Source organism: Homo sapiens, chromosome 2 (assembly GCF_000001405.40).
Source record: "Homo sapiens chromosome 2, GRCh38.p14 Primary Assembly".
Taxonomy (NCBI): domain Eukaryota; kingdom Metazoa; phylum Chordata; class Mammalia; order Primates; family Hominidae; genus Homo; species Homo sapiens.
Genome location: NC_000002.12, coordinates 33,926,613 through 33,939,401, shown reverse-complemented (window position 1 = coordinate 33,939,401; position 12,789 = coordinate 33,926,613). Strand labels below are relative to the sequence as shown.

The window sequence follows — 12,789 nt, the reverse complement described above, 5'->3', positions numbered from 1 at the left end:
AGATTGAGTTATAATAAGAGATTATTTTGTAGAGTTCCAGAGTTGAACAAATACTTCAAGATCACACAAAAAAAGGTAAAAAAAGTAGCTAAGAACATGAGTTCTGGAGTCATACAGACTTGGCTTTTTTCCTGGTTCTAAGATGTCTCCATTTTGCTTTCAGATAGATGAAGTCAACAGGGTTAAAGACAGGCCCATAAAAATATCTCAAAAATTTATCCATGCTCTTTTCCCCTTCTAATTCAGTGGGATGGATATATCTGCAGCAGCCATGGAAACAAGGTGTTATATTGGCACAGTCCTGATCTGCTGAAGGCCCTGAATAATGGCAGAGCCTCCATCGATGGGCATTCCTGAATGACCACAAGAAGGAAACCTCGCTGGTGACATGCTCACCTGCCAGAGAGAGCTACAAGCACAAGAAACAAATTCCTATTACTGCAAGCCATTTTATATGTAGGTCTATATGTTACAGCTGTCAGCATTACCCAACAAAGACACACCCATTTGCATGTGCCCCTAAGTCCAGGAGAATGTTTTCCAAGCTCTCTAAGACTTACATGGGACATTTTAGGTGTTTTCCAGTTCTTCATTTAAAGTTTTGCAATTCCTGCAAAAGCAAAGCTTTCTTTTACCTATGATGTGTCATGGGGAACAATAAAGAGTGTAGGATCAGAGAATGACTAGAATTTTATCGATGACCCAAGGCAAAATAAAATTCAGCCTGCTCTTTTGCAGCAATATTAGATCTGCTGCTCTTTCAGCAGTAAAATCTTGTTTTGTCAGCAACTATTGAGAGTAGATATGACTCAGAAGACACATAAAAGCATATATGTAAGTAACTAGCTATTATGTTTAGAAAATCTTTTTTTGCAACTTAAATGCACTCTAACATTTCCTATTTTAAATAATCAAGACCGCCTTCAGAATGCAGAATCTCAAAAATATTATGCTTTTCTATTTATGTCCTAATTGAATAAGGCAGAAGAAAGTACAAGTCACACAAGGACATACAGAAAATCACAAATTTTAGATATGAAAGGGAACTTTAAAGATCATTGAGCATAACAGCTTCATGCTATGGAAAAGGAAAGTAAGGCTTAAAAGGATTATGTGAACTTCGTAGTATCATTCCAACAGAGTTAGGACTAAAATTCTCAGTAATTATTTAATTCTCAGTAATTATTTTTTTCTCAGTAATTCTCAGTAATTATTTAATTCATTTTTTGCAGAGAGCCCAGCTCCCAATGCTTTAGAATTATGGAATCTTGTTTGTTTTTGTGACATTATTCAACTTTTCTTCAAAAAGTGGTATTAGAATATCAAGATTTATTATATAATATTGAACTTGCAAGAGCAACAATTCTGAGATCCACCAGCATCTGGTACATAGGTGATGCTCAATAAATGTTGATTGGTTGATGTTATAACACTCAAGTTTCATGGCCTAAGGTAACCCTTTGCTACAGCCTCATAATCCAATGGTCTAGGACTTATATTTTTAAAGGTTTTGAAAAGACAAAGTGAAATTTAAATATTAAACATTTCTTGGGATTCAAATATGATTTTGTATGAATACAATGTAAGCTAATCACCACTTCTATTTTAAACATATACAAAAGATTTCTGGATCTGTCCATGACAAAAATCACAGGTATAGGATGTATTCTCATGGTAAAAATAAATAGATAACTAAACAAACTATGTAAAGTAACTGTTTTTAGATACTAGAAAATAGGCAATGTAGGCTGCTCATAAGAGAAGAGAAACATAGGAGGTGATTTTTGCATTTGCAAAAAGTATTCTACCTTTCCAAGATGCAGCTGTGGAAACCAAAGACTTCACTTTGTGGCAGAGGAAACAGAGCATAGAGATATGACTAACCAGGAAACAACAGAACAACATCTTTTAAGTGCTGAAAAACAAAAACCTGTCAACCTAGAATCCTATAGCCCATGAAAATATTGTTCAAAATTGAGGGAGAAATAAGTTGATTTTCAGACAAATAACAACCAAAAAAGTGTCATTAGTAAATCCGCACTAAAGAATATTACAGATTACTAAAGAATATTGCAGAATATTACTATTAAGCCTTTAAGTTGAGGCTTAATAGTACCACAAATAAACATGGATCTATAGCAGAAGTTAGCAAATTATAAACTATAAGCCAAATCCAGCCATCTTTTATGTGGTCCATAAGGTAAGATAGTTTTAACATATTGAAATAATTAGAAAAATCAAAAGAATAATATTTTGAAAATTATGTAAATTTCAAAGTTTAGTAAAAATATATGAAATTTAAAGTTTGGTATTTACAAATAAAGTTTGATTGGAACTCAGCCATGCTCAATTGTTTATAAATTATCTATGGCTTATTTTACTCACATGAGCGTAGATGAGTCATTATGACACAGATTGTATTGCCCGCAAAGCCTAAAATACTTATTAACTGGTATTAAAAAAAAAAAAAGTGGGTAGAATAAAGAGCACTGAAAATGGTGAATATATGAGAAAATATTTTAAAAATCTTTTCTCATTTTTAAAATTTGTTTGAAAGTCTGTTTAAAGCAAAAATAATGGCAGTGAATTGTGGGTTTTAAACATACGTAGAAGTAAATATGTGACAACTACAGGAGCAATTATAGGAAAGAAGTAAATGGAATCACTGCAGTGTAAGGGTGTATTAGTCTGTTCTCATGCTGCTAATAAAGACATACCCGAGACTGTGTAATTCATAAAGGAAAGAGGCTTAATTGACTCACAGTTCAGCATGGCTGGTGAGGCCTCAGGAAACTCACAATCATGGCAGAAGGGGAAGCAAACATGTCCTTCTTCACATGGTGGCAGCAAGGAGAAATGCAGAGCAAAGGCCGGGGATAGAGGGATACCACTTATAAAACTATCAGGTCTCATGAGAACTCACTCACTATCACAAGAACAGCATGGATGTAACCACCCATGATTCAATTACCTCCCACTGGGTCGCTCTCACAACACAGTGGGATTATGGGAACTACAGTTCCAGAAGAGATTTGGGTGGAGACACAGGTACACCATATCAAAGAGTTTTACGTTGTACACAAAGAGGTACGTCTTAGTCACTTAAGGCTGCTATTATAGATACCATACACTGGGTAACTAAGATAACAGACATTTATTTCTCACAATTCTGGAGTCTGGAAAGTCCAAGAAAAATGTGCTGGCCAACTCAGTCTCTGGGGAGGGCTCTCTTTCTAACTTGCAGATGGACATCTTTTTATAAACAGACTGATTATATTTAAAAATTAGACAAAAAGTGCTTCAAGAAAAGGAATAACAGTAAAAACAAAGAGGAGCATATCACAATGTTTTAAAAAAATCAAAGGATCTTGATGATGTGAAATGCACTGTTAAACAATTTTAAAATACTAAATGAAATTAATTGAAATTATAGAGACCACTACTCAAAGCAATTGCATTCTTTTGATGTGCACAAGATAGACCATATGTTGGGTCAGAAAACATACCTTAATTTCAAATGATTGAAAACATACAGAATACATTTTCTAACTAAAATAGAATTATATTAGAAATCAGTAACAAAATTATATCTGTAATATCCCCAAATATTTGAAAATTAAACAACATAATTCTAAGTAAAACATGAGTAAAAGGAAAACATTACCAAAGCAAATAGAAATATTTTTACCTGAATAATGAAAATACAACAAATTAAACTTCGTGGGTGGCCAGAAATTAGTCCCTATAACTATAGCCAACTGATTTTTGCCAAAAGAATCCAGAACACACAATGGGGAAAGGACAGTCTCTTCAATAAATGGTTCTGAAAAAACTAAATATATACATGCAAAAGAATGAAACTAGACCCCCCACCTCTTTCCCTATAGAAAAATCAACTCAAAATGGATCAAAGACCTGAACTTAAGACCCCATACTATAAACTACCAGAAGAAAACATAGGGGAAATGCTTCAGGACATTGGTCTGAGAAAAGACTTTATAAAGAAGACCACAAAGTCACAGGCAACAAAAGTAACAACAAACAAATGAGATTATATCAAACTAAAAAGCTTTTGCACAACAAAAGAAACAATCAGAGTGAAGAGGCAACCTACAGAATGGGAGAAAATATTTGCAAACTCTCCATCAAATAGGTGATTAATATCCAGAATATATAAGAAATTCAAACATCTCAACAGCAAAAAACAATCTGATTTTTAAATGGGTAAATAATATGAATAGACATTTCTCCAAAAAAAAGACATACAAATAGCCAACAAATATATGAAAAAAATGCTCAATATCATTAATCACCAGGGAAATGCAAATCAAAACCACAACAAGGTATCATCTCACCCCAGTTAGGATGGCTATTATCAAAAAGACAAAAAATAACAAATGCTGAAAAGGGAACTCATACACTCTTGGTAGGAATGTAAAGTAGTATGGTTACAATGGAGAATAGTACAGAGGCTCATCAAAATACTGTCAACAGAACTTCCATAAGATCCAGCAGTACCACTGCTGGCCATTTATCCAAAGAATAGGAAAATCAGTATCTAGATGACACATCTGCATTCCCATGTTTGTTGCAGCACTGTTCACAATAGCCAATATGTGAAATCAACTTAGGTGTCTAACAACAGATGAATGAGTTTTTAAAATGTGGTATATACACACAATGGAATACTATTTGGACATTAAAAAAAAATAAATCCTGTCATTCACAGAACATGGTTGAAACTGGAGGACATTATGTTCAGTGAAATGAGCCAGGCACAGAAAGTGAAACACCGCATATTCTCACTCATATGTGAAAGCTAAAAAATGTTCATCTCATAGAAGTAAAAAGTAGAACAGAAGATACCAGAGGCTGGGAAGAGTAGAAATAAGGGGGTTATAGGGAGAGATTTGTTAGAGGATACAAAATTACAGCTAGATAGAAAGAATAAGTTATAGTGTTCTATAGCACTGTAGAATGACCAAAGTTAATAATTCATAAATTCAAATAGCTAGAAGGAAGATATTGCATATTCCCAACATGAAGAAACCATAAATAATTGAGATAATGAATATGCCAATTACCCTGATCTGATTGCTATACATTATATATATATATCAAAACACCACTATGTACCCTATAAATATGTACAATTATATGTTAATTTTAATATAAAGAAAAATATCATAAAATATAAATTAATTTTTAAAATAAACTTTGTGTGTTACAACTAAAGCAATCCTTAAAGGAAAATATATATCTTGAGATGCTTACATTAGAGAAAAAGCAAAGTTAAAATTAATAATCCAGGTTCATTTTAAGAAACTAGTAAAATAATGGGGTGGGGAGAGGGGGGAGGGATAGCATTAGGAGATATAGCTAATGCTAAATGACAAGTTAATGGGTGCAGCACACCAATATGGCACATGTATACATATGTAAGAAACCTGCATGTTGTGCACATGTACCCAAAAACTTAAAGTATAATAATAATAAAATTTAAAAAAAGCAGCTAGTAAAATAAGAGCAAAATAAACCCAAAGTAAGTAGAAAGCAGAAAATAAAAAAATAAATGTGGAAATCAATGAAATATAAAGTGGACAAACAAAAGAGAAAAATCAATGAAACTGAAATTCACTGGTAAATATCATCAAACATTTCAGGAAGAAGTAACTACAATCCTCCAATCTTAAATAAATGTTTTCCTAAAATATAAATAGTCCAAACATTCCAATTAAAAGGTAGACATGTCAGACTGTATAAAATATAAGACCCAACTATATACTGTCCGAAGGAAGGAAGGAAGGAAGGAAGGAAGGAAGGAAGGAAGGAAGGAAGGAAGGAAGGAAGGAAGGAAGGAGGGAAGGAAGGAAGGAGGGAAGGGAGGGAGGGAGGGAGGGAGGGAGGGAGGGATATTTCCAGCATATTTCCAGAGCCCCAAAGTGTGGTGAAGGTTGTAAATGCAACCTTCACCCAGATCCACATAGGGCATCCTTGTTAACAGGCAAAAGAGCAGCAAGATGGGCATGAAGCTGACCCAAGATCCTGCTCATGATCTTGTGGAATTGCCCAAAAGCAGAACTGAGGGAGGCAGGGAGGGAGGGGAGGGGAGGGAAGGGGAGGTGAGAAAGAAGGGAAGAAGGCAGGCAGGCTACAAATATAAAGACATATTAAAAAATATATAGACATGTTGAAAGTAAGTTTGTGGAAAAATATGTGCCAGGCAAATATTAATCATAAAGCTGATGTGGTTACATTAATACTAGATAAAGTAGACTTTAAATGAAGATATATTAACAAGGATAAAGATAAAAGAATCATAATGATAAAGGAGTTCATAAAGAAGGCATAAAAACCCTAAATGTGAGCGCACCTAAAAATAGAACTTAAAAATAAATAAAAAACTACAGATTTTATGGAGTACAAATTTGTAATTATAATTGAAGATTTCAAAAACTTATTTCTCAGTAATTGATAGAACAAGTACATAGAAAATTAGTAATCATATAGAAAAATAACCATAATTTGACATTCAAAGAATACCCCAACAGTAGCATACCATTCTTTTAAAACACAGATGGCATATTAACCAAGACAGTCCATATGCTGGGCCTTAAATTAAAAATTTATTTAAAAAATAAAGTTTATGTTAATTTTCCTTCTTATTAAAAAGAAAATAGTTTTGAAAGAAGCCTCTCTCAACAGGCTTAAGAAAGCCTACATCAGAAGACAAAATCCAGCTAAAATTATCAAATGGATTTTTAAAATTATTACTTTCTTTTCTTTTTCCAGGTTATTTTACAAACTGTGTGATATCCCACAATTTATGAAAGAAGCCTCTCAGTGAGGGAAATGTTTCCAACCAATAAATCAAAAGATAAATGATCAAAACTCAAATCCTCTGAAAACCAGTTGCAGGCATTGTGTTCATGTTATATCGAAAGCAATAAATAATAAAATGTCCTAACATATTTTTCATATCATTGAAATATTTTAAGGAAATTTTATCAGTCATTTCAAAGTAAAGAAGGGTTCTGGTAAGGCAAACTGTTTTCTACTTCAAATATTATTTATGAATACAACTAAAGGTAGTTTTTCATGTTGTACATGGAGCTCTGCAGAAAGTATTTCCTTTTAAGGTAGACAGCAATCTATCAAAATAAACCTGGTCAGGCTGTGACATAAATGCATATAAGGCTATCTAGGTATACGACCCTGTTTTTTCACTAATCCAATGATGGTAGGGTGCTTCTAAATGTTTCTTAAGTATGTATAGTTCGGTTTGGTTTGGTTCTTGTTTTTATTTTAATGTAGAAGGCTTCTGGCATTGACATTTAGTCTTGGATTGAGATAGGAAAGAATGAGGATAGTTTTAGATATTCAAGAGGTATTGAAAAGGTATTGGTTAGCAAGATAATTGAGATGAGATTGTTAAGGGACCCAGAGAACCAGAGAAAAGGCAGGAGGGGTGAAGGAATCAAGACACTGGCATCTGTATAGAGGCTAGGAAATGATTTGGGAGCAGTAAGTACGCTAAGACTGAATCAGATCCTAGAAGAGGCTTCTTACTCTTATAACAAGTAAGAGAAGTTTAACGTTCATGACAGAATGCAAAGAAGTAGAAAACAGGTGAAGAAAATAGGTTGTGCAGATCAAGCTTCACACCCATAATTTGCATAGCACTAGAGATCAAAACATAGAATGTAGGTTTCAGGTATTCAGAAAGGAACCTCGGATGACAGGTCAGAAAGGCCCAGAGTTATACATGAGTCAGGGTTCAAAAACCCACCCAAAGTAACTACATCTCAGCAAGCAGCACTCCCAGAAATTAGATCAGCTTAGATCCTATAGAGTGGAATTATTGAGTTCCCACCTTGGGGATGTAAATATAATCATTGCACCGATAAGGATATGCCATTGTTAGGCATGTGAAGCTTCACCCAGATCCACATATGGGCATCCTGGTTAACAGGAAAAAGAGCAGCAAGATGGGCATGAAGCTGACCCAAGATCCTGCTTATGATCTTGTGGAATTGCCCAAAAGCAGAACTGAGACCAAGCAAAAGAAAGCACTCTGGTAAGCAGGCTCATCTACTGGGAGCAAAGGTGAGTCAAGAAAGGACCAGATCACTTCCACCTCCGAGACTGGGTTTTTCAATGAGTTTTAAGGAAACGTTATATTTTTTAAATACTTTTTATGATTTAGGTATTTATACATAGCACTAGTGCTAATAATCAAATGCCGACACAAGAATTGCTGAAGCAAAACCCATTGGCTGATACTCTGATAACCCTATGAGTGCAAACTTAAATACATAAAAGGCCATTTCATTTTCTATAGCTCTACCATATTAGTAATAGGAATTTATGATATGGAATGCTATTGTCTATTCTTTCCTCTGCAATAAAAGCAGTTAAAAAATGTTGTCTCCAGATTTCATGAAGAATTGGTTTTCACAGAATCACAAAACTTTCCAAATTGAAAATCTCTGCAGAGAAAGTAAGCATTGCTAGACTCAACAGACCATGCAAAAAACAGACAAGGCTCATACACAATGATTAAGGATAATCTACATTGGAGTGACAGGGGCAGACCAGGCCACTGCCCTCAACCCTGCCTTTGCTACCTCTGCATATCTGTTTGAGTGACTGCATTGAGAACTCACTCCCTAAGGCCACACAGAGGAAATATGAGCTTAAATGTTTAATTACTCAGCTTCTTTTCCTCCCCTTTCTCATTGCCTTTTTTCCATTACAAGGTTTCTGGGCTTCTCTCTAGGTTCCTCTCCCCTAGAATGAGTTCTAGAAAATTCTCATTCCTAGCCCTCTAAACCCCAGCTGAGGATGTGGATATGTCTTGCTAGAGTTCTTCCCAAAAGTTGGATCCTGCCCCAAATCCAGGGATTAGTTCTGCAGTTTCGCACAGTTTTGCTGCCTGCCCAAAGACAAATATTGACCATTCTCTGTGTGACACAGTTGCCCCAACTAGATGCCTTTATACTAACTGTTGCTTCCTGTACCCATTGACCTCTACCCCATCACTAGTCTTTTTGTTTGTTTATTTGTTTGTTTGTTTGTTTGTTTGAGACGGAGTCTCGCTCTGTCACCCAGGCTGGAGCGCAGTGGCACGATCTCAGCTCACTGCAAGCTCCGCCTCCCAGGTTCACACCATTTTCCTACCTCAGCATCCCGAGTAGCTGGGACTACAGGCACCTGCCACCACGCCAGGCTAATTTTTGTATTTTTAGTAGAGATGGGGTTTCACCGTGTTAGCCAGGATGGTCTCCATCTCCTGACCTCGTGATCCTCCCACCTCGGCCTCCCAAAGTGTTGGGATTACAGGCATGAGCCACTGCGCCAGGCCCAATTTACTCTCTTAGTAAAGGTAACATCCCAATCCCCACCAGTATGCAATATACCTATGGAATAAACACATACATGTACCTCCAAATCTAAAAATCGAATTTAATTTTTTTTTAACAAGTAACAATATTAATGGAATAGTTTCTAGCATCAAGATCCAAAGCCATGGGCTAAGTGAAAAGAAAGTTCCTAATCCAACCCGCTTGTGATTTCCTGATCTTTCAGATATATTTATGAGAAAAATAGAGGCTACAGAAGAGACGCTGAGAATAATTTGTCTCTCTTACAAACCGCTGACCAAGTATTTCAGACTGTATAGTGGAGGGCCAAGTTTCAGTATAGGGTGAAATAGAAACCACCTATGGCCAATGGTGAAACTAATGAATCACAAAGTCACTTCGCTGTCATTTCCTTCAGGTGTAAAATCAGGAAGTTGGGTTAGGTCATCTCTGAGGCCACCTTAAGCTCTAAAAATCTATTATCTGTACAGAGTAGTGCCACTTACATTGACATTTAATCTTAAACCTACAAAAGCTTATTGACAAGAGGATGTACTTTTGTGGAAACTGATATGGAATCGGTGAGTATAAAATGCAAAGTTTTAAAAGAAGGTGGAAGGCAGATACTTCAGAATTGACATGGCATAACTTAAGCTTAATAATTTGTGGAGTACCCACAAGATCTGAATAATAAGATACTTAAATCCACAGAGTATTTCACAAATTCACATTCAAATTCATAACCATTTGTTTATCAGCATATTTCCAGAGCCCCAAAGTGTGGTGAAGGTTGTAAATGAAGTTATAGAGGAATGCACTATTTATTATCATTGAGAAAATGATGTCACAGAACAAGAGATACAAACTGTCTTTCATCATTTTAAAATCTATGACCATAAAGGCAACTGGGCAGTGCTGGAACAGAATGCTCCATCTCCCTGGTCACAACTAAATAGCTCCAATTTCCAGTCATTCATGTTTTCAGGGACATGGTTCTCCTTTTCAAAATGTCCTAATAGTTTTAAATGGCTTGTTGTCAATATAAATACCTAATGTGTTTTTCTATTCAGATTACTTCATTATGGAATAATGTACATCAATTTCACGCACAATTTGCACTTTTGTCACTGAAACATCAAGTAGAAACATTATCATTAAATGTTGATTCATGAAGCAAAAAATAATATTTTTTAGTCAAGCTCAGGCCCATGATTATTGGGCCAGCAGGAGCTGAGAATTCTGCAGAGATCACACGGCTTTGCCCAAGGAAACTTCTCTTCCCCATATAACTCTCCACTCTGCCTGCTTGTTGCTGCTTGCAGAAGAATATCTAGACATAAAAGCTTGCTCCTTTCCTTGTAGGAACAGAAGCTGCACTCTGTATAACAGGGCTTGGCAAACTGTGAAAGGGCCACATATATCTCACTGCCTGTTCTGGTACAACTTTCAATCTAAGAATGGTTATTACATTTTTAAATGGTTGACAAAAAATATGTATCAAGACATGTGGAAACTATATGAAACCCAGATTTCAGTGTCCAATAAATAAAGTTTGGAACTGTCTCAGACTCATTTGTTTACATATTGTCTATCAATGCTTTCATGCTATAATGTAAAGTCAGACCATATAGCCCATAAGCTCTTTACCACCTGGCTCTTTAGGGTCAAAGATTGCCCATCCCTTCCCTAGAACATCCAGGAAGTTCCCTTGCTGTGCCGTACACAGAACAACAATATTCGACCCAGCAAAAGTCTTCTGCTTCTCATGCCTGATGGCAATGTCAAATTTTGAAGTCAACACTTTGCTTTAATAACAGAAGTCCTCTACAAAAATACTTATTTTTCCCTAAGACTTCTGCCTCTGTTATCCATGCTTAGTCATTTGCTTAAAACCAATGTCTCTACTTCTGTCCCTGTTCCCATCTTTGCCAGGAGCCCACCACACTGATTCTACCATTTAAGTAATCCTTCTGTTCTTTGTCCCAAACCCAACTAGATTTCGTCATAGCATTTAATCCTGCAGTGAAGATTTGTGTTCTATTTGTCTGTGTCTGCAGAAAGAAGGAAATTGTTTACTTTCAGAAATACATGAATTCTCTCATGCCAGTAGGAGGGAGAGTTTCACAAGGAACTAACATTTGAATTTTAAGCCAAGCAATTTGAAGGAGGATGGGGAAACACACACAGTTTATATTTACTAATCTGTCATTGTCACATCTGATTCAAAGTGACCACATAAAAAGTCCTTTATTAGTCCTATTTCCTTGTCACTATGAGAGATGTCTGAGTGTCATTTGAATCCCAATTGTTTTTTTTTTTTTTTGAGACGGCGTCTTGCTCTGTCGCCAGGCTGGAGTGCAATGGCACGATCTCGGCTCACTGCAATCTCTGCCTCCCGGGTTCAAGAGTTTATCCTGCCTCAGCCTCCCGAGTAGCTGGGATTACAGGCGCGGGCCACCATGCCCAGCTAATTTTTGTATTTTTAGTAGAGACGGGGTCTCACCATGTTGGCCAGGATGGTCTCGATCTCTTGACCTCGTGATCTGCCTGCCTTGGCCTGCCAGAGTGCTGGGATTACAGGCGTGAGCTACAGCACCCAGCCAAAAGTGATTTTAAGCATCTGGCCGGGCGCGGTGGCTCACGCCTGTAATCCCAGCACTTTGGGAGGCCGAAGCGGGCGGATCACAAGGTCAGGAGATCGAGACCATCCCGGCTAAAACGGTGAAACCCCGTCTCTACTAAAAATACAAAAAATTAGCCGGGCGTAGTGGCAGGCGCCTGTAGTCCCAGCTACTTGGGAGGCTGAGGCAGGAGAATGGCGTGAACCCGGGAGGCGGAGCTTGCAGTGAGCCGAGATCCCGCCACTGCACTCCAGCCTGGGCGACAGAGCGAGACTCCGTCTCAAAAAAAAAAAAAAAAAAAAAAAAAAAAGCATCAGCATTTTATCGCACAGAATTGCAGATCAGAAGTCTGAAATCAAGGTGTTCACAGAACCACACTCCTCCAGATCCTGTAGAAGAGATTCCGTTTCTTGCCTCTTCCGGCTCCTGATAGTTGTTGGTTTTCCTTACCTGATGGTTGCATCACTCCAGCCTCTTCTTTTGTCTTCACCTGGTCTCCTCTCTGTGTCTGTGTCTTCTGCCACTGGATTTAGGGCCCACTTTGGTAATCCAGGAGGACCTCAAGATTCTTCATTATACCTGCAAAGACCATTTTTGCAAATGAGATCATATTCACAGTTCTGGGAATTTATACCTGGACATATCTTTTAGGGGGCACTATTCAATATACTGCATGTAGCAAGAGAATACTAGCGCATGTATCATCTCATCCAAGTCTTCAAGAGCCTTGACAGTTACTGTTATTTCTCACATAAGAAAACCGTAGTGATAAAAGTGAAAAGCTAACATTTAAAACTCGATCTGTC

The 12,789-nt window shown here is 36.8% G+C and overlaps 1 long non-coding RNA gene across 1 annotated transcript in view; it reads right to left on the bottom strand.

The window, feature by feature from the left end:
• LINC01317 (long intergenic non-protein coding RNA 1317) overlaps positions 1 to 12,789 on the bottom strand; it is a 590,861-nt gene that overhangs the window by 358,345 nt on the left and 219,727 nt on the right. The window contains exon 3 of the long non-coding RNA NR_126403.1: positions 12,434 to 12,562. This is a non-coding gene — a long non-coding RNA (long intergenic non-protein coding RNA 1317). The remainder of the gene's footprint in view (positions 1 to 12,433; positions 12,563 to 12,789) is intronic.